The 25,851-nt window shown below is 36.1% G+C and overlaps 1 long non-coding RNA gene across 1 annotated transcript; it reads right to left on the bottom strand.

The window, feature by feature from the left end:
• Window positions 1-9,770: 9,770 nt before the first annotated feature.
• Window positions 9,771-18,225, bottom strand: LOC105375372 (uncharacterized). The gene is made up of 3 exons (XR_927708.2): window positions 17,896-18,225; window positions 16,781-16,902; window positions 9,771-9,925 (listed from the first exon to the last, which is right to left on the bottom strand). It is a non-coding gene; the product is annotated as an uncharacterized LOC105375372 (long non-coding RNA).
• Between the last annotated feature and the right edge of the window lie 7,626 nt (window positions 18,226-25,851).

Raw genomic sequence — 25,851 nt, 5'->3', positions numbered from 1 at the left:
AGAATATAAGTTTCTTTTATTTCTGCCTTTTTTGTAAGAGAGTAGATGCAGTTACTGTATTATCACCTACTGTTTCCTACCTCAGCACACCTGAGGGTCATGGGCCAAGAAAGATATTAGTGTCATTAAATATTGCACTTTAAATTGGAAACATAAAAAAATACTAAGGATCGTTATGTTGCTCATGATCCATGATAGCTTTTTAGGAATTCTTGCGTAGAATGGAAAAAGCAAACCTCCTAGACTTACGTTATGTCTTGTAACACGTGACTCTTTGAGACGTAGGATTGGTTCTTTCAGGAGTATTTAGAATTGAAATAACTTTCTAGATTGGGAGCTTGACCTGTTTTTCTTTTGTGATTCTTGATTATACAATAGCATTCTCATTGTTCATTCACCAAAGCTGCAAATGCTATTTCTGGAAGAGATGTTGGTCTAAGAAGAAAACTGAGATAAACAAAGGAGTGTACAACTATACTAGTGTCTATTCTACCTAATTTTAGTTCTCAATGTGGAATATTCTAGTGAGAATACTTTTTCTTTCTTCCTTGGAATACATTTTGTGGGATATAAAGCAGAAAACAGCTAAAGCAAGCAGAAAAATCAAGTAGTTTGGTGTTGATTCTGAGTTTGGTGAAGATTTGAGTTAGAGTCCGGGACTCTGCTCTGATCAGCTTTTAGATTAGCTTAAGCCCCCATCCTCTTTAAGCGTATGTTGCTAGGCATTAGCACAGTATTGCAGAATTAGGCTGAAGCCAGACAGCTTAGGTTCAAACCCCAGACTTAGCCTTCTCTTGCTTAATGACCTCGTATGTGAAAAGAGGTTAGCTAGTAGTAGCTGACTTCCAGGGTGTTGGGAAGATTGCATTAATATGTAAGTGCAAAGTGCCAGGGGCTAAACTCTGCAATTATTAATTATTATCGTTATTTCATAGTCTGTAACTTTAGTAACTAACTTTTATATAACTCAAATAATAGAATACACAAAAAGTATTGTTACCATAAAGCACTATTAAAATATGAGAGATGATTATAATATTTAATAGGTGGTATAAACAATGGGATCCATAGATAGGCTGAGGAGCAGTATAAAGTAGAGATTAGAAAGTGAAATGGGGCAAACGACAAAAAACAACGGCAAAAAATTGTGGAATTTATGAAAGAATTTGAGCTACCAAGAAACAGAATTCAGGAACTATGTAATTGTAAGGTGTCTATAGTAAAATTGTTACTTCTATGTTGGATAATCAATAGCGTTTAACTTTTCTTCATGAATAAAATGTAATTGATTCACGTGTTGCACATGTGGTCTAGGTTTCCTCACAGGACAATCCATGGGACATAGCTGCATGGCAATTCCACGGTACCACTTCTCCGCTTCAGAATGCTTTAAGTACATATCTACATGGTTATTGAGAGAGAACACAAAACCTGAAATTCTCAAAAAGAACCATTTCTATTGCCTAGATGGTAAATTTGCTCTTTAAAAAAAGCTTTATTTAATGTTGATGGTATTTAATCAAGATTCTATGCAGATGGGATTGCTAGATAAAATATAGGACACTCAGTTAAATTCAAATTTCAGATAAACAACAAATATATATATATATTTTTCTGAGACTGGATCTTGCTCAGTCATCTAGGCTGATGTGCATGACCATAGGTCACACAACCTCAAACTCCCAGCCTCAATGGATCGTCCAACCTCAGCCATCCAAGTAACTGCAAATACATTTTTAGTATAAGTATACACTGTGGAATATTTGTTATTTAAAATTCAAATTCAAGTAGACATTCCATATTTTTATTTTCTAGTATGGCAACCTTATTCCAAGCCAGCTTTTTTGGGACAGCAACTTGCACATGTCTGTCTACTGAATGTTGCATAACAATGATACTTGTCAAGCATCTACTACGTACAGTGATTCAATCACTGGTTTCAAGTAATGAAGGTCAAGGACATATCAAGGTATTGGAGACTCAAAGTAGTGAAAGAGCTATAGTCCTCTTCCCTTATGTGATTCAAAATAAAAATATCTCCAAGCTGTAAAACGGATGTAAGAAAATTCAATTAGGTTGTGACTTTTTACATTCTGACTCCTGCTTTTTTGAAAAACATCAAATGTCAACTTTTTGCAAAAAAGATTTTTTTTCTCTCTTCTGAGTGTGTTTTCCCTGCCCTAGGTTTGCAGGCATTCCAAACTTGAGTCTCATCTGATTATTAAGTAATTCATGATTGTACACAGTACAGAGTAAGAGCTCAATGATTATCTTTTGAATAAATAAATGAATGGATGAATGAAGATGGGATATAGTAAAGGGAAGATAAAAAGACATATAACTGTGGAACAGGCAGAATATAGATTCCAAATTACAGATACAAACAAAATCCTTGGAGGTCCATGGGAATCATCCAAGGTCATCATAGTGTATGAACGGAATAAAGGGAAACAGGAAGATTTTTGACAGAAACTTATGGGACAGGAAAGTATTACATGACTATGAGTGAAGTATTTTACTAGGATATTATATTATTAAAAAAAGGCTTCTGCTTTCATGTTTGGGTTCCAAAATCTAGCACAGTGCCTGGTTCATTTTTAGTAATAAAAATCTATTTAGAAAGAATATAAGAAGAAAAACATAAAGAAAAGGTAAAAGAAAAAAGAAAAAAGAATGTTAATTAGTAATTGCTGGGAATAGGTGTAGAAATAGGAATTTGCATAACATATTAAAGTAAGATATGTTATGCAAATTCATAATAGGATATATTAAAATGAGTCAAATATAAAAATAGAAATTAAACTGCATCCAGAATATGCAGCACTTTGAAAGCAATGGTAGACAAGAAGATACTTTAAAACTTTTTTGTATGGCATTGTAATACAAAATTTGCATAATTAAGTGTGCTACTGTACAGAGATTGTATTAATATCAAGAGGGTCTTTTTGGTCATCCATTATAAAACAGTAGTTATTGAGGCATTTGGAATATATGCATATTTACTCATCAAGCATATACATATACTACAATAATAACATTATTTTATAATTGACAAATAAATTTGTATATATTCATACAATGTGATGTTTTGAAATATGTATACATGTGGAATGGCTAAAGCAAGCTAATTAACATATGAATTACCATACATATTTAACATTTTTTTTGTGATGAGAACACCTAAAATCTACTCTCTTAGCAAGTTTTAAGAATAAAAAAAATTGTTATTAACTATGGTCACCATGTTGTACAATAGATCTCTGGAACATATTTCTCTTATCTAACTGAAATTTTGTATCCTTTAACCAATATCTCCAGAACCCCCATAACTACAATAATAACATTTGGTACATTTTAAAACACATGCAAAAGTAAAAATTAGGTGTTTTATTTCATCTATTTTAATTTCTACTTTTGTGTGTAGAAGTTTTAATATTTGTCTCTCATGCTCTACTGGCTTATCGTGAGCAGTCATTAGAACGTATGAATTTCGCTTTGGAAATCTCCATAAAGGAGCTAGGAAAATCAATGGCATGATTTGGGAAATAACTAGGACAGAGGTATGAGAACCAGATTTCTATCTGTGATTGAGAAACTGTAAGGTGTAAAATATGGGCAAGAATCATTTCAGAAATAAGAATTTGTAAGTAATTAGATGTAGTGGGTAAGAAAAAGGAAAAAGTTGAGAATGAATGACTTCAGGGTTTATGACAAAAAGAACAATCTAATTGCTAATGAAAACATGAAGATCAAGATTATTTAATGACATTCATTAAATAATCATGTTCTAGGGACTGTGTCAAATCCTTCAGAATTTACTCCTTACAACACAGGATGGGCATAATTACTAGTTCCACCCGTCTTGAAGATGAGAAAACTGAACCCTAGAGAAACTGAGTTAATTTTCTCATGGTCCCAACTGTGGTAAATGTTGGAGCCAGGACTTGAGCCTGGGGTCAGTCTGATTCCAGAGTCTGTGCTCTTAAGCACCAGATTCTTCAAATTAACAGGAAAGGGTGAGGGAAAGAGAGGGTGGATAGAATGAAGGGATAGTAAGTCTGGTTTAGAAATGATGTGTGGTGAAAAATAACTTTAGACTTAGACAAATTTGAATTTAACCCCTCTTATCAACCAAAAAATAACATCTGAAAAGACTCCTCGTTTGAAAAATGGGGATAGTAACAAATATCATGAAATGTTATCAAAAAGATCAAAAGATACAGTGCTAATATAGTGCCTGTGACTAGTTATAGACTGATTGTTAACCCGAGTTACCATAAGCTATTTTTACTATTAGAACAGCTTGCGTAATTAAAAAAACAAAAAACAACCACCCAGAAATCAACTATAAATTGTTCATAGGCTGACACAGAACATAACTAGTGACTGCTATCTGAAGCTTCTAGTACTCAGTCTAAGGCAAATTTGAATAATGTTAATTATGTAGAGCCAAGGAGAATTTCATATTTTTATTATTGTCTAAAAATTAAACACTCGAGAGCTTAAATTTATTAAGTCCAAAGGGTGGTCTCTGAAGTTCAAGTAAGATGTCTATCTATTAATCTATTATTCTATCTATCTTGATGTCTATGAGGTTCTGATTCTAGTCGTGACTGAGAGAAAGCATTTCAAAAAAACCCTCACCAACACTGAGCAGTCCCGGTTACATTCAGGAGGTAGAAAGTAGTCTTAAGATTTGTAAATTATTATGGTGTGACAGTGCACCTTTCCTTTATCTTATTTATTTAATTGGCTTAACTAGGTTCCAGATGCCAGGCAGCTTCACATTAAACCCCCATGTTAGACAGTAGGACATCAAATAATTGGCTATTACAATTGTTCCCTCTTCCAAGCGTCCCCACTTAGTATGTGGAATAAATGGTTGACTCATGAAAGTAAGCTAGGTCGCTAAGCCACAGTCACTACACATCCAGGTATATACCCGATCAACACATGACTTTTCTAGTATAATTGCATTGTACTATCTTTCCCTCTTTTTTTCTAAACTAGTTCTCTAAATACAATCCAGGCCAAGATTAATGCATTTAAGCTGCTAGAACTTTCCCCATACCATTTCCCTATTAAAAATTAAGTGTCCAGCTGAAGTCCATCTAGAAAATGAAACCTTCCTTATGATCTTTGCAGCAAGTGACTTGTCTTCTGAACAACGGAAAAATCTTCTGTATTTAAAAATCCAAATATTTGATACTTAGTGTAAACTATCTTCAATTATGAATTGTAGGCTGGGCGTGCTGGCTCACACCTGTAATCCCAGCACTTTGGGAGGCTGAGGCCGGTGGTGGATCACTTGAGGTGAGGAGTTCGAGACCAGCCTAGCCAACATAGTGAAACCCCATATTTACTAAAAATACAAAAATTAATTGGGCATGTTGGCTGCACCTTCAGACCTACCTACTCTGGAGGCTGAGGCAGGAGAATCGCTTAAATCTGGGAGGTGGAGGTTGCAGTGAGCCGAGATCATGCCACTGCACTCCAGCCTGGACCCATAGCGAGACTCTGTCTCAAAAAAAAATTATGAATTGCATTGTTTTTGTTTTTGTACATGAATATGCCATATCTTTCCAATTAGATTTTATTCTTTTTAGGGCAGAGAATTTTTATACTTTTTTTACAGCCATGGAACAACCAAGTGCTTTATTTTATTGTTTTTCAAATTTTTGTGGATACACAGTAGTTGTATATATTTATGGGGTACATGAGAAACTTTGATATAAGCATAATACTCACACCATGGAAAATGGGATATCAATCCCCTCAAGCATTTATCTTTCATCTTACAATCACAATTAGACTCTTTTAGTTGTTTTTAATTGTACAAATAAATAATTTTGACTATAGTCACCCTGTTGGTTTTATATTTATTTATTTATTTAGAGGCAGAGTCTCGCTCTGTCGCCCAGGCTGAAGTGTGATTGCATAATCAACTCACTGCAACCTCCACCTCCTAGGTTTAAGTGATTCTCATGCCTCAGCCTCCCAAGTAGCTGGGATTACAAGCATTTGCCACCATGCCCAGCTAATTTTTGTATTTTTGGTAGAGATACAGTTTTGCCATGTTGACCAGGCTGGTCTCAAACTCCTGGCCTGAAGTCCTGGCCTGAAGTGATCCACCCACCTCGACCTCCTAAAGTGCTGGGATTACAGGCGTGAGCCACAGTGCCCGGCCTGCAATCAAAGCATCTGTAACTCTTCCGAACAGTTTCTTCGTAGGTGTTTTGGTTGGGGTTCTTCAGTTGAAACAGAAACTGACCCGACTGAAGAAAAAGCTGATGGAAAGACAGGAAGAGTGCAGTCTGACTTATAGATAGGCCCTTCCAGGAAGATTAATCTTAATATTCAGTTTCATCATTTTCTGATCTTGTGCCACTCACTCAAGATTTAAATTTTTATGACCGAGATTTTGATGGACCTATTTTGTGCCATTTGGGTATTCCCTTGATTTCCAGTTCCACAGAGATGACGTTCCCCCAATGAAATCCTTAAAAACAAGGAGTTACCCAGAAAACTGGGGGTAGATGCTGGAGGGGTACGAAGAGCAGGTAAGTCCTACCCCTTATTTCACAAACAGGGATGCTATACTTCTCTACCTGAAGATGATAATTCTGAGTTAAAGAAAAATGCCAATAGCTTACACACACAGCTAGACATGCAAATTTCCTTTGGAAACCAGACAACCAAATCTGGGATCTGAAGTTCCTAGAAGATTAATCACATTGAATATTAATATGCTGCTTTCTTAATCAGAATTAGACCTGTACTTATTTAGAATGAGTAGACCTGTTAAATAACCTTGGACAAGCTATTTAACATTTTTGAATGCAGCTTTGTAATTTTTGAAATAGGGATGATACTAATGTACTTAAATAAGTTGTTATAAAAATTAAATAAATGAATACCCAACGCATAATACAATATGCTAGGCTATAATGATTTTTCAACTATTGTTAGCTACAGCCATTATGAGTTTCAAGGTTGCAGATTCAGTTGATCAGTTCATCCAGTATTTCTTATTTATATCCAAACACCTTTCTAATTGGCTTATTTGCATTCAAATTAAAGACACGCCTAACCAGTGATCACATTTAAATACTGCTCCTCTTGAACATTAAATTACTTTTCTTAAAATCAAAACTTAAGGAATTATAAGTTTAATAAATATTTTTTATACTGCTCAAGGCTTTTTTCATTTTAATGCAGAGAACTACAGAAAAATATTAATTTCAGATAGTTTATTTAAGTGATATTAGAGAAACTAACAATCAGTTAAGGGTCTGAGAGCAGAGAAGACAGTTATGGTCGGATCTAGTTAGAGCTTTATGAAGACCCATCAATGCAAAAAATTAAAAATGTTCTCAACATAAAACTGAAAGATCAGATAAATCGAAATATTTGGAAGGTTATGTTTGTAAATATTTGAGGGACTGAGGGGAGTGGAAAAGAATATACTTACTTTCATAACATATAGATAAGATGGTAGAGATCTGAAGTTATAAAGCCTTAACATTCATGATAGGGAAGTATGCTTCAGTTTGATTTAAGCAAATGCTGAACAAAAAGGTTTAAATTGACCATTTAAGACAATTTAAAGGTTTAAATTGTCTCATATTCTTTCAGGTTATCCTAGAATGGCCAGAAATTTGATTTATTTACTTTATTCCCAAATAATCATATTGGAAAGTTTGCTAAGTTTTATAACTTTGGGATCCTTATAGCTTTCTTTTGGATTGTGGAAATAGGAAATAAAATAGAAAAATAGAAAATAAATAAGAATGTATATTTTTTTCTCTGTTTATATACAATCTACACTATTTAGGATTTCAATATGTGTTCTTGTGTAATGACAAACCTCTTTGGATATAACATGATAGGAAGTTTTGGAGAGATATTGGAGAAACTTATATATACTGGTGCTGAAGCAATCTTTACAAAAGTTTTTTTCTTTTTGACTAGGACGTTATTGCCTAAATCCCAGGGCATGGTGGATGCCAGGTGGTCTCCAAAATGTTTTGAATCTAAATGCCTTGTCATTTCCTAAGATAAATGAAAAATCTAATTAAATTATTCTAAAATTCAAAATTATTCTAAAAATGATTCTAAAGTACATAAAAATTATTCTAAAATTATTCTAAAAAAATTATTCTAAAATACATAAAAGCATCATGGTGAGTCTATTTAAAATGCACCCTCCTGTGGTCCATCTTCAGAGATTCTTATTCAGTAAAACGACAGAGAGTCTCAGGAATCTGGAGCTTTGTAAAGAAACTCAGATGATTTTGATACGGGTTGTTTACAGATTACACTTGGAGAACCAGGGTTTATGGCTTCTCTCTGATATCAGTACCACCTATTTATTATTAATTATTACAAGTTTCCTACTAATAGCTGCTCCTCCAATCAACTTCAACTCCCTGGTGGGGAGAACAGCAATAAAGAAGACCCAAAGGCTTTGTATGTATTATTGAATTGATTTTTGTATTTATATTTGAACGCAAATGTTGATACTTAAGCTGTATCCCCCCAAACCCTAGTTCCATTGCCTGTTAGTAGGTGTTCTACTAGAACAGAATTCCATAGTCAAACAGATTACTGTGTAATAATACTTTGTCTTCTCTTAGAGTTATAGACACATACCTCCATACAACATTATTTAGCTTTGTTTTAACCAGGCTTTCCATGATTCTAACTCTGGAATCTTCCTAGCAGAAGACAGCTTTACATCTTGCAGAAATACTGTTCCTCATTACAGAGAGTCTAAGCTCCGTCTTGCTTTCTTGCGGAACCTGATGTCTTTTTGACAATTCACACTACTGCTTTGATCTAAAAGCTCTTTCTGTGGCTCATTTGAAGCATACATGGAGTAAGATTAGTCAGAGACAGCAGTGTGAACAGAGCAGCAAACAAGGTTTCATCCAAAAGTAAATCTGATTTCATGGACTAAAGGATTCTTTATGTCTAAGGATGTATCTACAGGTAGTATAAGATGCTCCTCCGAACACCTCTTTTTAAAGGATTTGGAAATGGCATCAGGTAGATTTTGTGAGTAGAAAATGACTCAACACTTATTGGATGAAAGCAAAGACATGGAAAATCACATATAGTGACTACTGGTTTGGACCACATTGTGATCAAACAAATTTTATAAATATATTTGAAGGGGGGTTTATTTTTCATCATAGGGACCTGGAAAAAAATGAACAGAACAATAATTGTCAATATGCACAGCATCAGGTAGGAGACAGAATATTTTGACCAAAAACCAGGGGTAATATTGCTTAGGAAGGCTGTGTCTTTCTGGGAGAAGAATGGCCTCAGCTGAGAAGCTGCCTAGGATGATCCAAATTCCTGGTATTGATTCCTTGAATAATATTGTATTTTAGTTTCCATGTAGTTCTGCCTTAGAAAAAGCATATATTCATCATGGCAGTGAGTGCCCTCTGGTCCGAATAAAGTCATAATTCTTATTGTAAATGAATAAATTGGTATTCTGTTTTACATTCTAGTCTCTCATTAATTTAATTTAGAGTAAGTTAGTATCCCTGAGTCTGATCACATCTGAGGAACTACACAATTGATTTTCTGGGCAAAGAACTTTCCAAAAAAATACAGACTGCAACAAAATCACCATTATGATACTACCCTGTGAGGCTTTTGTAGAACATTACATAACACATTCTAGGTAAACCCTTATTTTTCTATTTGTTTCTCCTGAAAATGCAGCATATTGAATATAAAGATTTGTATGAAAACGTGAGCCTTGTTTCTAATGAAGATATTTTTGTTGTTTTGAGAAGAAAGAAGTAAATTTACTCCTCATCACTTGCCGTTGGTGTTGTTTAGCAGGCTCTATAGAAGAAATTATTCGCTTGAGAATTGATGTCTTCCTTTATTGCTTTTTCTCATAATCCTGCAAAACAGAGGAATAAAAGAAAATTACACTGGGCAAATATCTTATATGCTATTCTTAAATCTTGCAAATATAATTCCCAGTTTCTTTCATTTCAAATCATGAGGTTAAACTCAGCTCAGTCATGCAGTTCCAGCTGAAATTTGCTGGGACTTAACCTGCATAGCTAAATGTTCAATTTAAAAGTTCTTCTTGCACCTAATTTTCACCCAGTGAAAAAATATGTAGTTATTATGGGCAATTGTAATGTGAATTAAATTGTGCATAATTTTTAATACTTTCAACTGTGAGGTCTTTGAGGGGGCTTCCTAAATGAAATAATAAGCTTTTTTCTGATATTTACCTCTAACCCAACATTTAAGATTTTATAAAACTTTGAACATTTTTATACATGTTACAAAAACATTAACCCTTCATATTTTCTAGGTTAGAAAAATCTCCTCACATGTAATTGCAGAATCTCAAACTGTTTTTTTTTTAAATTTTTATTTTAGATTCGGTGGTACATGTGCAGATTTGTTATAAGAATATGTTGCATGATGCAAAGTTTGGGTTTCTACTGATTGTGTCACCTAAATAGTGAACATAGTACCCAATAGGAAGTTTTTCAGCCCTTGTCCCCTTCCCACCCTCCCTCCTTTTGGAGTCCCTAGTGTCTGTTGTTCCTGTCCTTACGTTCATGTGCACCCAAGATTTAGCTCCCACTTATAAGTGAGAACATGTGATATTTGCTTTTCTGTTTGTGTTAATTTGCTTAGGATAATGGCCTCCAACTGCATGCATGTTGTTGCAAAAGATACGATTTTTTCATATTTTTGGCTGTATAGCATTCCAATGGTGTATACGTACCACATTTTCTTTATCTAATCCGCTGTTGATGGGCACCTAGGTTGATTCCATGTCTTTGCTATTGTGAATAGTGCTGTGATGAACACATATGTGCATGTGTCTTTATGGCAGAATGATTTATATTCCTCTGGGTATATGCCCAGTAATGGTATTGCTGGGTTGAATGGTAGTTCTACTTTTAGTTCTTTGAGACATCTCCAAACTGCTTTCCACAGTGACTGAACTAATTTGCATTCCCACCAAAAGTGTATAAGTGTTCCTTTTTGTCTGCAGCCTCACCAACATCTTTTATTTTTTGATTTTTAAAAAAATAACAACTATTCTGACTGGTGAGACATGGTATCTCATTGTGGTTTTGATATGCATTTCTCTGATGATTAGTGATATTTAACATTTCATATGTTTGCTGGCTGCTTGTATGTCTTCTTTTGAGAAGTGTCTGTTCATGTCCATTGCCCACTATTTAATGGGTTTTTTTTTTTCTTGTTAATTTTTTTACATTCCTTATAAATTCTGGATATTAGTCTTTTGTTGGATGCTTACTTTGCAAATATTCTCTCCCATTCTGTAGTTTGTCTGTTTACTCTAGCGATAAGTTTCTTTTGCTGTGCAGAAGCTCGTTAGTTTAGTTTCATTAGGGTCCACTTGTCAATTTTTGTTTTTGTTGCAATTGCTTTTGAGAACTTAGTCATAAATTCTTTGTCAAGCTGATGTCCAGAAGCATATTTCCTAGATTGTCTTTCAGGATGTTTATAGTTTGAGGTCTTACATTTAAGTCTTTAATTTATTTGAGTTAAATTTAGTATATGGTAATAGGTAAGGGTCCAGTTCATTCTTTTGCATATGGTTAGCCAATTTTCCCAGCACCATTTATTGAATAGGGAGTCCTTTCCCCATAGCTTATTTTTGTGGACTTTGTCAAAGGTCAGTTTGTTGTAGGTATGCAGCTTTATTTCTGGGTTCCCTATTCTGTACCATTGGTGTATTGGTCTAATTTTTTACCAGTACCATGTTATTGTGGTTACTGTATCCTTGTAGTGTAGTTTGAAGTGCAATGATGTAATGATGTGATACCTGTAGTTTTTTTTTTTTTTTTCTTTTGAAATGGAGTCTCACTCTGTTGCCAGGCTGGAGTGCAGTGGGCAGTGGCATGATCTTGGCTCTTTGCAACCTCCGCCTCCTGGGTTCAGACGACTCTTCTGCCTCAGCCTTCCGAGTACTGGGACTACAGCTGCGTGCCACCATGCCCAGCTAATTTTTGTATTTTTAGTAGAGACGAGGCTTCACCATGTTGGCCAGGATGGTCTCGATCAGCTTTGTTCTTTTTGCCTAGGATTACTTTGGCTATTTGGGCTCTGTTTTGATTCCATATGAATTTTAAAATTGTTTTTTTCTAATTCTGTGAAAAGTGATGTTGATAATTTGATGGGAATAGCATTGAATCTGTAAATTGCTTTGGGCAATGTGAACATTTTAATAATATTGATTCTTCCAATCCATGAGCATGGAGTGTTTTTCCATTTGTTTGCATCATCTCTGATTTCTTTTAGCAGTGTTCAAAACTGTCTTTATCCTCTCACACATTTCAGTTCTAAGACTACTCCACAATTCTTTATTCTTAGTCTATCTTTTCTCAGTATCTTTTCTTTTGCTTTCTTGATATTATTATGTTAAAAAGAGAAATGCCCACCGACTTAATTTCTTCAGCATACATCTGAAAATTGGACAATGGAGACTTTACTCTTCTTCATTTCCTTAGCTGAATTTCTGATATTACTACAACAATACCAGAAGCCCTGGGATATGTCTGTACATCAATTTAAATTAACCATTATCCTGCAAGTTGCTCCAACACTATACTGCAATTAGAAAAGCTTTGTAGTTATACCAGTAAGTAGATATCCTCTTGAGTTCCCCCTGCTGTACTCTGGAAGGATAACTTATTTTTTATTTCATGTCAAAATGCAAATTTATAGCTTTCTTATGATATATTATAAGCAATTAAATTTACATAAAATGAAAAATAATGTTTAATTGAGTAGACACATTTATATATATTCCTTAAAATATTAAAATAAAAATGTATAATCAGGTGAAATGTTTCTCAGTATTATTTATCTGGCTATAACAAAATAAAATACCTGGGATACTTTGCCAATTGATAATTTTCAAATACGATAGTTTTTTTTTTTTGAGATGGAGTCTCTTTCTGTCACCCAGGCTGGAGTGCAACGGTGCGATCTCGGCTCACTGAAACCTCTGCCCCCCAGATTCAAGAGATTTTCCTGCTTCTGCCACCTGAGTAGCTGGGATTACAAGCATGTGCCACCATGCCCAGCTAATTTTTGTATTTTTAGTAGAGACAGGAATTCACCATGATGGCCAAGCTGGTCTCGAACTCCTGACCTCAAGTGATCCACCTGCCTCTGCCTCCCAAAGTACTGGGATTACAGGCGTAAGCCACTGTGCTAGGCCAAAAACGATAGTTTTTAAAGAACTTATTTTCTATTATTTCATTATCATTGCTCAAAATCAGTACACGTCTAAGAGATAAGGGGATACTAAATAAAATAATGGTTAGGCTACACAAGTAATCCATAATTCACTTTGATATGAAGTCAAGGGTACTATCTCTTCAGTCAGTTTTCATATTTTGAAATGTATTTATTGAGTACTTACATTAGGCCAAGGGCTAGGTCTGGGGTTATGGACTAGGGATATATTAGTGGACCATGATCTAATGGTTTTTAAAAACTACTGGAGAAGACAGATAATTGCACAATTATTTACACCATTATTTAATTACAAGGCCCTGGGAAGAAGGATCTGCATCTTTTTAAAATTGACAACGAAGAGCATGATTAGATTATGGTGTATGACGAGGAAATGACCTTCTGTGAGATTTAAGGCTCAGGGAGAGGCAGTCAATTAAAACATTTATACCATGTTAGTAATTCTAGAGTAAACCTCCCAAATAATGCGACGTCATTATAAAAATTTAAGTGTGAGAATAATGCAACCTGATCAGATTTACATATTTCCCCCCACATTTTGTTATGAAAATGTTTTCAAACCACTATTTGAAATTATTGTAAACTTCCACATACCTACCAACTTGATGTTACAGTTGTACATATTTTGCTATATTTGTTTTAGCCCATTCATTTTCTTTTCAACTTTTATTTTAGGTTCAGAGGTACTTGTGCAGGTTTGTCACATAGGTAAACTCATGTCACGGGGGTTTGTTGTACAGATTATTTCATCACCCAAGTACTAAGCCTAGTACCCAGTAGTTATTTTGTCACTCAGGTAATAAGCATAGTAACTAACAGGTAGTTTTTCTATCTTCACCCTCCTCCTACCCTCCACCTGAAAGTATGCCCCAGTGTCTTCTTTTCCCCTGTTTGTGTCCATGAGTCCTCATCATTTAGCTCCCACTTACAAGTGAGAACATGTGGTATTTGGTTTTCTGTTCTTGTGTTAGTTTGCCAAAGATAATGACCTCCAGCTCCATCCATGCTCTTGGAAAGGACGTGACCTCATTCTTTTTTTATGGCTGCATTGTATTTCTTGTTGCATATGTAACACATTTTCTTTATCCAATCTGCCATTGATGTAGCCCATTCATTTATCCATTCAATTAGCCACCTATTAATCTAACTTATTTTAAGAGGGTTTTAATATGAGATGTAACTTACATACAATAAAACTTGCCCTTTCTAGTATATAGTTCCATGCTCTGACAAAGCAGAGTCATGGCAATATCACCACAATCAGGATACATAACAGTTTAATCGTATATGTCTAATGCATTTCAGAGTTTTCTTTAGATATCAGTGCATTTCATATCTAAGCATTTCAACATGCATATAATTCATTAGAGCTCAATATTTGTTTATGATTACTTATATTTTTTGAAGTGAATTTTACATAGAATGAAATACATCATTCATAATCTTTCTATGAGCACTGATAAATGCATAAACCTGACCTGTGCAATGCTGAATCTCTACAAAGATATAGAACATTTTCATCATCCCCTCTAAAATCTCCTTCTGCTCTTTTGCAGTCAATTTCTGGTCCCACTTTCCCCTTCACATTACATTAACAACCAGGGTTCTGATTTTTCTTATATAACCATAGGTTGGTTTTGCCTATTCTAGAATTTCAGATAAATCAAGTCAAAGAGCATATGTTCTTTTGTGTAAGTCTTCTTTAGGTTAACATTATATTTCTGAGATACGAACATGTTGGGTATATCATTAGTTCTGTTTAAATTGCTGAGTACTATCTCGTTGTATAAATAGATCATAGTTTGTCTGTCCATTCTTCTGTTGATTGAAACCTGGGATGTTTTCAGTTTTGGCGATTATGAATAAAGCTATCACTAACATTCTTATACAAAGCTTTTAGTGAAAAAGAAGCACATGTTTTTATTTTTCCCAGATAAATATCTAGAATTGGAATTTATCTGTCATGGAGACATTTGCTTAGCTTAATTTTTTTAAAAGCCAGAATGTTTTACAAACTGGCTCATCAGCATAACAGTTTAAAAAACCATGCTGCCTATAGGATGGATAATGGCTTGGGACTAAGGGAAAGTATATCGGGGAAGATAAATTGTAATGTTTAGACTTAACAGGGGCTAATGGATATAGAGGAGAGTTGATATAATTAAGATATATTTACAGGATAGAATAAATGGGATTAGGTAGGAGATAGGATTTGAGGGGAGGGATATGGATTAGTCAGATTTCAGCGTGAACAAATGCAAGATGGTAGTATGACTTACAGAGATGGAGAGCACTGATGGAAATGGGGAGCCATCAGGTCTAGAGGAAAATGCCTGAGCTCCATTTGGAACATATGCCAGTTGGATGTTCTCTCTTTTGGAATAATAATTAGCTGATTTGTGGCAATTTGTATATTGTTAGAACCAGAAAGAAAAATAAATGCAATCTATTTTGCTATGCACCAAATAGACCTGTGTTTCCTAAATTTAAGCTGCTTTACCCTTCCCCCCTTCCCTTGAAATAAAATACTTTTACTTATAATTTACTCTAAAAAAGAACATACATTTTATTTCTTCATGTTTAAAATTATTATAAATGTTAAAATATAACCTATTAAGTTACATTCATTTCTATACCTTCGAATTTGTGACTCTTGTTTGAAAAAAAATCATAGCACTTTTATTGGACAAGGAGATGATTTATTACATAAGATTTAATTAGGATAAATGAGGGATATTATACGGTACAATATTTTCACAGATGGTTGAAATCACATTGGGAAAAGCTTGGATTCAAGTTCGTCTATTTAAGTTGCTTAAGATAATTTAGATAGAATTTGAAGGAATTAAGTTTACCAGCAGTTTAAAGCATTACATTTATATTAAAGCACAAACAAGAATCATAATCCTTGTTAAAGTTACCACAGAATTAAAACTCCTTAACCAATAAAGTCAAATGAAGTTTTTAAAAAGACTTGTATAAGTCTTTTTAATTTGTGTTTTGCTCAAAAGTAATGCCTGCCTAATGTTAATGAGGATCCTAATCAAACTGATTTGGGACATAATTTTAGCCAGAACACCTTTTCCTATTTAGCTATCCTTGAAACAAGACAATGACATTTTAAATAATTACAGAAGTGCTGTGAGAGATAACAAAAATGAAAATAGGCACTATGTATAAAAAAGGGACCTCTACAAGCCATTTAATGTTTAAATATGCTTTTTATTACATGATTTTTTATAAATGTTGAGAAAAACTATTTAAAATTTGTATTGGCAGTCTCAAATCTCATGTTATATCACCTATCATAGTTATGTAAAATAATGTGCTGTCATTAAAATGTAATTAAATATTCACATTTCATGCCAAGCTGTCAACAAGCCTCATTTTGCTTAATTATCTATAGATTTTCTGGACCACCTGTTTTCAGGAGGGCTTTTCATTTCTAGGAGGTCAATGGAAGGAAAAGAAAATGAAGATTTTTGCCAATCACCTTGTTTAGAATGCATTTGTTCCTGATTGAAGAATGGCTCTAGCCTCCCTTAGTGCTTGGTATTTCACTCTTATCCAGAGGTCACGGGCTTTTAACAAGCAGTTGTAAAGCCTGACCGGAAGCTAAAAACAAAAAGCAGATCTATTTAAACAAACACAGTTTAAATATTGCAAAAGCTGGTAAATAACAGTACATTTGTTTTTTGGTCTATTCAAGTCTTCTGAATGTCCTTAACAAAGTTAAATAAAGGTTTTATTCATTCGCAACTCATTGTTTCCTGCTTGCTAATGCTCATCTGGAATATATGAATTGTAATTTGAAAGATTATATTAATTTTCTAATGAGCTACATGAATATATGAAAATAAAGTTTAAAAATAAAAAAATTAAACAGATTATTGTTTACAAGAATGACATTGAGAGAGGATCCCTAAACTTTGTTTAGCAAACATAAAAAAGTAATCTGTAGTGACTAGTAGGTTTGTTCGCTTTTGTTTCATTTTTTTCCTTTAATACATTTAGAGATTTATTGGCATTTAGAGAGCGAATTTTACAAACCTGTTAAATGACACATCATAGTTTCCTTCACATTTTTTAAACTAGTCTGTCTCTTATAGAATGTAATGTAGGACAGTGGTTAAGACTCGGCCTCTAGAGGCAACCTGCCTAGGTTTGAATCCCAGCATTATCATGTGCTGAAAATGACTTTAGGCAAGTTACTTAATCTCTCTGTGATTTAATTTCCTCATCAATAAAATAAAAGAGAAAAACAGTATTGACTTCCTAAAATTGTTAAAAAGATGAAGGGCATGTAAAGTGGTTGTTTCATATAAGAGATAAAGTCTTGGGCTAGGGTAGTAAAATTGGGCATGAAAGTAATCAGACAGAAGAACAGTATATTTTCCAAGTGAAATTGACAGGCTTTGGTGAGCAATTAATGTCTGGTGACTTTCAGCTGCCAGTTGATGTTAAGGTGATTGCAAAAGCATGAGGGATGTTTTTGGAAGCATGATATCTTCAGTGGTAAACACAGGCCCCGGCAGCAGGTCACAGTGATTGTATTCATCATGCGCATGGGTGGTAAGTGGGAAGGGATCACCTCCAAAGCCTTCTTACCTGGAAATACTTTTTCATGGGTAGCATATCAATGAGTACAGCACATTCAGGCAGGAGAAATGGGGCTCAACTTGCGGATCAAAGAAGAGCTAAGGACAAAAATTTTTAAATGGAATTGGAAGTGTCTCATCCCAGTTATGGGAATCTATCCAGAAGAAAGCATCATTGACTTCCCTTTCACAACTCAGCCCATTTATAACCAGCTTCTGCCATCATTTGTCCACAATAACTGCTATTGCCAAGATCATCCGTGATTTTCCTTTACCAAATTCAATGGAGTCTTATCAATGGCTTTTGACAGGAAAATTTTCATCCAAAGATCTAGTTATCTAATTTAAGTTCTATCTATGTTGGTGATCACATTCATTTTCATGGCTTCATTTATTAATTTTTAACTGGCAGTTAAAAATTGTATATATTTATGGTATACAGCATAATGTTTTGATCCATAGCTTCAAATCCCATTTTATATTTGTAATCCCATACTCTCATTTGGATTTAATATCCATATGTCCTCTGATTAATCAAACAATTCTACTTTGGTGTTTTAAATATAACATATCCAGAATCAAACTTTTTATTTCTATATCCAGACATTTTCCTCCCAAGTCGATTAATTTCCAATAATGACAAGACTGTTTTTGCAATTTGCTAAGCTAGAAACTTGAGATTTACCCTCAATTATTCCACACCATACTCATGCTTGTCCTCCAATTTAATCCACAATTCTTATTAATTTATACCTTCAAAATATATTTCAAATCTGTAGATTCCTGTCCATTTCTATTTCTGCATTCTATTGTAAACCATCATTTCTGACCCATTTTCACTTTTGCCACTTCCTAAATAATTCAATCAATTTCCGTATAAGGACTTTGGGAGGCTGAGGCAGGCAGATCACGAGGTCAGGAGATCAGGACCATCCTGGCTAACACGGTGAAATCCTGTCTCTACTAAAAAATACAAAAAATTAGCCAGGCATAGTGGCGGGTGCCTGTAGCCCCAGCTACTGAGGAGGCTGAGGCAGGAGAATGGCATGAACCCGGGAGGTGGAGCTTGCAGTGAGCCGAGATTGTGCCACTGCACTCCAGCCTGGATGACAGAGTGAGTCTCCATCTCAAAAAAAAAAATAAAAATTTCCATATAAGGGATCACATTGATATTTTTAAAACATAAATTTGATCATTTTATTTTTTGTGTTAAATTTTTCAATAGTTCTCCATTGTATTTAGAATGAACTATACAGTCATTGATGCCTACCAAGTACACCCTGTCCCTCACATCCAACAGAATAAAAGTTTATTTCTCCAATCTCATTCCCATTTTCCCCACTTCCCCAATAACCATGTGTCAGCCACTCTCTTCATTTAGTTCCTAAAACCACCCCTAGACTTTTGCACATGTTCTTAGGCAGGTCACTTTTCCCCACTCATCTCTTAAAGTATCATTAGAATGCATGTATCAGTATAAGTGGCTGTCTTTATTAGTTATATCTAAACTAGTTCTCCTCATATTTTCTATCATAGAAAACTTTGCATTTTTTAAATATCATCTTGCACCATGATTTATAATTATCTTTTCTGTATGTTGTATTTGTTTGTTGTCTGTCTTCTTCGCAAGACTGAATTGCCATGAGGTTTGGGATAGTATCTGCCTCATGCAGTAGTGTCTCTCCCCATACCTACCATAATTTTCAATGCACTGGAGATGCTCAAAAACAGGTATTGGCTGAATGAATGCTTTTGTGAGAAATACACATCTGGGGGGGCGGTTCCAAGATGGCTGAATAGGAACAGCTCCAGTCTACAGCTACCAGCATGAGTGATACAGAAGACAGGTGATTTCTGCATTTCCAACTGAGGTACCGGGTTCAACTCACTGGGGCTTGTCGGACAGTCAGTGCAGGACAGTGGGTGCAGCTCACCAAGCGTGAGTTGAAGCAGGGCAAGGCATCACCTCACCTGGGAAGTGCAAGGGGTCAGGGAATTCCCTTTCCTAGCAAAGGGAAGGGGTGACAGACAGCACCTGGAAAATTGGGTCACTCCCATCCTAATACAGTGCTTTTCCAATGGTCTTAGCAAATGGCACACCAGGAGATTATATCCCATGCCTGGCTCAGATTGTTGCATGCCCACAGAGCCTAGCTCATTGCTAGCACAGCAGTCTGAGATCAAACAGCAAGGTGGCAGAGAGGCTGGGGGAGGGGTGCCCACCATTGCTGAGGCTTGACTAGGTAAACAAAGCGGATGGGAAGCTTGAATTGAACTTGGTGGAGCCCACCGCAGCTCAAGGAGGCCTGCCTGCCTCTGTAGACTCCACCTCTGGGGGCAGGGCATAGCCAAACAAAAGACAGCAGAAACCTCTGCAGACTTAAATGTCCCTGACTGACAGCTTTGAAGAGAGTAGTGGTTCACCCCGCTTGCAACTTGAGATCCGAGAAAGGACAGACTGCCTCCTCAAGTGGGTCCCTGACCCCTGAGTAGCCTAACTGGGAGGCACCCCCCAGTAGGTGCAGACTGACAACTCACATGGCCGGGTACCCCTGTGAGATGAAGCTTCCAGAGGAACGGTCAGGCAGAAACATTTGCTGTTCACCAATATTCGCTGTTCTGCAGCCTCCGCTGGTGATACCCAGGCAAACAGCGTCTGGAGTGGATCTCCAGCAAACTCCAACAGACCTGTAGCTGAGGGTCCTAACTGTTAGAAGGAAAACTAACGAACAGAAAGGACATCCATACTAAAACCCCATCTGCATGTCACCGTCATCAAAGACCAAAGGTAGATAAAACCACAAAGATGGGGAAAAAACAGAGCAGAAAAGCTGAAAACTCTAAAAATCAGAGTGCCTCCCCCCTCCAAAGGAACGCAGATCCTTGCCAGCAATGGAACAAAACTGGATGGAGAATGACTTTGATGAGTTGAGAGAAGGCTCAGATGATCAAACTTCTCCAAGCTAAAGGAGGAAGTTCGAACCCATCACAAAGAAGCTAAAAACCTTGAAAAAAGATTAGACGAATGGCTAACTAGAATAAAAAGTGTAGAGAAGTCCTTAAAGGATGTGATGTAGTTGAAAACCATGGCACAAGAACTACATGATGCATGCACAAGCTTCAGTAGCTGATTTGATCAGCTGGAAGGAAGAGTATCAGTGATTGAAGATCAAATGAATGAAATGAAGTGAGAAGAGAAGTTTAGAGAAAAAAAGTAAAAAGAAATGAACAAAGCCTTCCAGAAATATGGGACTATGTGAAAAGACCAAATCTACGTCTGATTGGTGTACCTGAAAGTGACAGGGAGAATGGAACCAAGCTGGAAAACACTCTGCAGGATATTATCCAGGAGAACTTCCCCAACCTATCAAGGCAGGCCAACATTCAAATTCAGGAAATACAGAGAATGCCACAAAGATACTCCTCGAGAAGAGCAACTCCAAGACACATAATTGTCAGATTCACCAAAGTTGAAATGAAGGAAAAAATGTTAAGGGCAGCCAGAGAGAAAGGTCGGATTACCCACAAAAGGAAGCCCATCAGACTAACAGCTGATCTCTCAGCAGAAACTCTTTAAGCCAGAAGAGAGTGGGGGACAATATTCAACATTCTTAAAGAAAATAATTTTCAACCCAGAATTTCATATCCAGCCAAATTAAGCTTCATAAGTGAAGGAGAAATAAAATCCTTTACAGACAAGCAAATGCTGAGAGATTTTGTCACCACCAGGTCTGCCATACAAGAGCTCCCGAAGGAAGCACTGGACAAGAAAAGGAACAACCGGTACCAGCCACTGCAAAAACATGCCAAATTGTAAAGGCCATCGATGCTAGGAAGAAACTGCATCAACTAACGAGCAAAATAACCAGCTAATATCATAATGACAGGATCAAATTCACACATAACAATATTAACCTTAAATGTAAATGGGCTAAATGCTCCAGTTGAAAGATACAGACTGGAAAATTGGATAAAGAGTCAAGACCCATCAGCGTGCTGTATTCAGGAGACCCATCTCATGTGCAGAGACACATATAGGCTCGAAATAAAGGGATGGAGGAAGATCTACCAAGCAAGTGGAAAACAAAAAAAGTCAGGGGTTGTGATCCTAGTCTCTTTAAAACAGACTTTAAACCAACAAAGATCAAAAGAGACAAACAAGGTCATTACATAATGGTAAAGGGATCATTTCAACAAGAAGAGTTAACTATCCTAAATATATATGCACCCAATACAGGAGCACCCAGATTCATAAAGCAAGCCCTTAGAGACTTACAAAGAGACTTTGACTCCCACACAATAATAATGGCAGATTTTAACACCCCACTGTCAACATTAGACAGATCAACGAGACAGAAAGTTAACAAGGATAACCAGGACTTGAACTCAGCTCTGCACCAAGCAGACCTATTAGACATCTACAGAACTCTCCACCCCAAATCAGCAGCATATACATTCTTCTCAGCACCATATCACACTTATTTCAAAATTGACCACATAGTTGGAAGTAAAGAATCCTCAGCAAATGTAAAAGAACAGAACTCACAACAAACTGTCTCTCAGACCACAGTGCAATCAAACTAGAACTCAGGATTAAGAAACGCACTCAAAACTGCTCAACTACATGGAAACTGAACAACCTGCTCCTGAATGACTACTGGGTACATAAAGAAATGAAGGCAGAAATGAAGATGCTCTTTGAAACCAATGAGAACAAAGACACAACATACCAGAATCTCTGGGACACATTTAAAGTAATGTGTAGAGGGAAATTTATAGCACTAAATGCCCACAAGAGAAAGCAGGAAAGATCTAAAATTGACACCCTAACATCACAATTAAAAGAACTAGAGAAGCAAGAGCAAACACATTCAAAAGCTAGCAGAAGGCAAGAAATAACTAAGATCAGAGCAGAAATGAAGGAGACAGAGACACAAAAAAACCTTCAAAAAATCAATGAATCCAGGAGCTGGTTTTTTGAAAAGATCAACAAAATTGATAGACCACTAGCAAGACTAATAAAGAAGAAAAGAGAGAAGAATCAAATAGATGCAATGAAAAATGATAAAGGGGATATCACCACTGATCCCACAGAAATACAAACTACCATCAGAGAATACTATAAACACCTCTACGCAAATAAACTAGAAAATCTAGAAGAAATGGATAAATTCCTGCACACATACACCCTCCTAAGACTAATCCAGGAAGAAGTTGAATCCCTGAATAGACCAATAACAGGCTCTGAAATTGAGGCAATAATTAATAGCCTACCAACCAAAAAAAGTCCAGGACCAGACGGATTCACAGCCAAATTCTACCAGAGGTACAAGGAGGAGATGATACCATTCCTTCTAAAACTATTCTGATGAATAGAGAAAGAGGGAATCCTCCCTAATTCATTTTATGAGGCCAGCATCATCCTGATACCAAAGCCAGGCAGAGACACAAGAGAAAAAGAGAATTTTAGACCAATATCCCTGATGAACATCGATGCAAAAATCCTCAATAAAATACTGGCAAACCAAATCCAGCAGCACATCAAAAAGCTTATCCACCATGATCAAGTGGGCTTCATCCCTGGGATGCAAGACTGCTTCACCATATGCAAATCAATAAATGTAATCCAGCATATAAACAGAACCAACAACAAAAACCACATGATTATCTCAACAGATGCAGAAAAGGCCTTTGACAAAATTCAACAGCCCTTCATGTTAAAAACTTTCAATAAATTAGGTATTGATGGGACAGATCTCAAAATAATAAGAGCTATTTATGACAAACCCACAGCCAATATCATGCTGAATGGGCAAAAACTGGAAGCATTCCCTTTGAAAACTGGCACAAGACAGGGATGCCCTCTCTCACCACTCCTATTCAACATACAGTTGGAAGTTCTGGCCAGGGCAATCAGGCAGGAGAAAGAAATAAAGGGTATTCAACTAGGAAAAGAGGAAGTCAAATTGTCCCTGTTTGCAGATGACATGATTGTATATTTAGAAAACCCCATTTTCTCAGCCCAATATCTCCTTAAACTGATAATCAACTTCAGCAAAGTCTCAGGATACAAAATCAACGTGCAAAAATCACAAGCATCTTATACACCAATAACAGACAAACAGAGAGACAAATCATGAGTGAACTCCCATTCACAACTGCTTCAAAGAGAATAAAATACCTAGGAATCCAACTTAGAAGGGATGTGAAGGACCTCTTCAAGGAGAACCACAAACCACTGCTCAACGAAATAAAAGAGGACACAAAGAAATGGAAGAACATTCCGTGCTCATGGATAGGAAGAATCAATATTGTGAAAATGGTCACACTGCCCAAGGTAATTTATAGATTCAATGCCATCCCCATCAAGCTACCAATGACTTTCTTTAAATAATTGGAAAAAAAATACTTCAAAATTCATATGGAACCAAAAAAGAGCTCACATTGCCAAGTCAATCCTAAGCCAAAAGAACAAAGCTGGAGGCATCATGCTACCTGACTTCAAACTATACTACAAGGCTACAGTAACCAAAACAGCATGGTACTGGTACCAAAACAGAGATATAGACCAATGGAACAGAACAGAGCCCTCAGAAATAATACCACACATCTACAACCATCTGATCTTTGACAAACCTGACAAAAACAAGAAATGGGGAAAGATTCCCTATTTAATAAATGGTGCTGGGAAAACTGGCTAGCCATATGTAGAAAGCTGAAACTGGATCCCTTCCTTACACCTGATACAAAAATTATTTCAAGATGATTAAAGACTTAAATGTTAGACCTAAAACCATAGAAACCCTAGAAGAAAACCTAGGCAATACCATTCAGGACATAGGCATGGGCAAGGACTTCATGTCTAAAACACCAAAAGCAATGGCAACAAAAGCCAAAGTTGACAAATGGGATCTAATTAAACTAAAGAGCTTCTGCACAGCAAAAGAAACTATCATCAGAGTGAACAGGCAACCTACAGAATGGGAGAAAATTTTTGCAATCTACTCATCTGACAAAGGGCTGATATCCAGAATCTACAAAGAACTCAAACAAATATACAAGAAAAAAAATAAACAACCCCATCAAAAAGTGGGTGAAGGATATGAAGAGACACTTCTTAAAAGGAGACATTTATGCATCCAACAGACACATGAAAAAATGCTCATCATCACTGGCCATCAGAGAAATGCAAATCAAAACCACAATGAGATACCATCTCACACCTGTTAGAATGGCATTCATTAAAAAGTCAGGAAACAACAGGTGTTGGAGAGGATGTGGAGAAATAGGAACACTTTTACACTGTTGGTGGAACTGTAAACTAGTTCAACCATTGTGGAAAACAGTGTGGTGCTTCCTCAAGGATCTAGAACTAGAAATACCATTTCATCCAGCCATCCCATTACTGGGTATATACCCAAAGGATTATAAATCATGCTGCTATAAAGACACATGCACACGTATGTTTATTGAGGCACTATTCACAATAGCAAAGACTTGGAACCAACCCAAATGTCCAACAATGATAGAATGGATTAAGAAAATGTGGCACATATACATCATTGAATATTATGCAGCCATAATAAATGATGAGTTCACATCCTTTGTAGGGACATGGATGAAGCTGGAAATCATCATTCTCAGCAAACTATCACAAGGACAGAAAACCAAACACCGCATGTTCTCACTCATAGGTGGGAATTGAACAATGAGAACACTTGGACACAGGAAGGGGAACATCACACACCAGGGCCTGTCATGGGGTGAGCGGAGCGGGGAGGGATAGCACTAGGAGATATACCTAATGTAAATGACCAGTTAATGGGTGCAGCACACCAACGTGGCACATGTATACATATGTAACAAACCTGCACGTTGTGCACACGTACCCTAGAACTTAAAGTACAATTAAAAAAAAGAGAAATACACGTCTAGCTCTGTGTGGGTGAATGTTGCATATATATGT

This window comes from Homo sapiens, chromosome 7 (genome assembly GCF_000001405.40).
Source record: "Homo sapiens chromosome 7, GRCh38.p14 Primary Assembly".
In the NCBI taxonomy this organism is placed as follows: Eukaryota; Metazoa; Chordata; class Mammalia; order Primates; family Hominidae; genus Homo; species Homo sapiens.
This window is presented reverse-complemented; position numbering and strand designations above follow the sequence as displayed.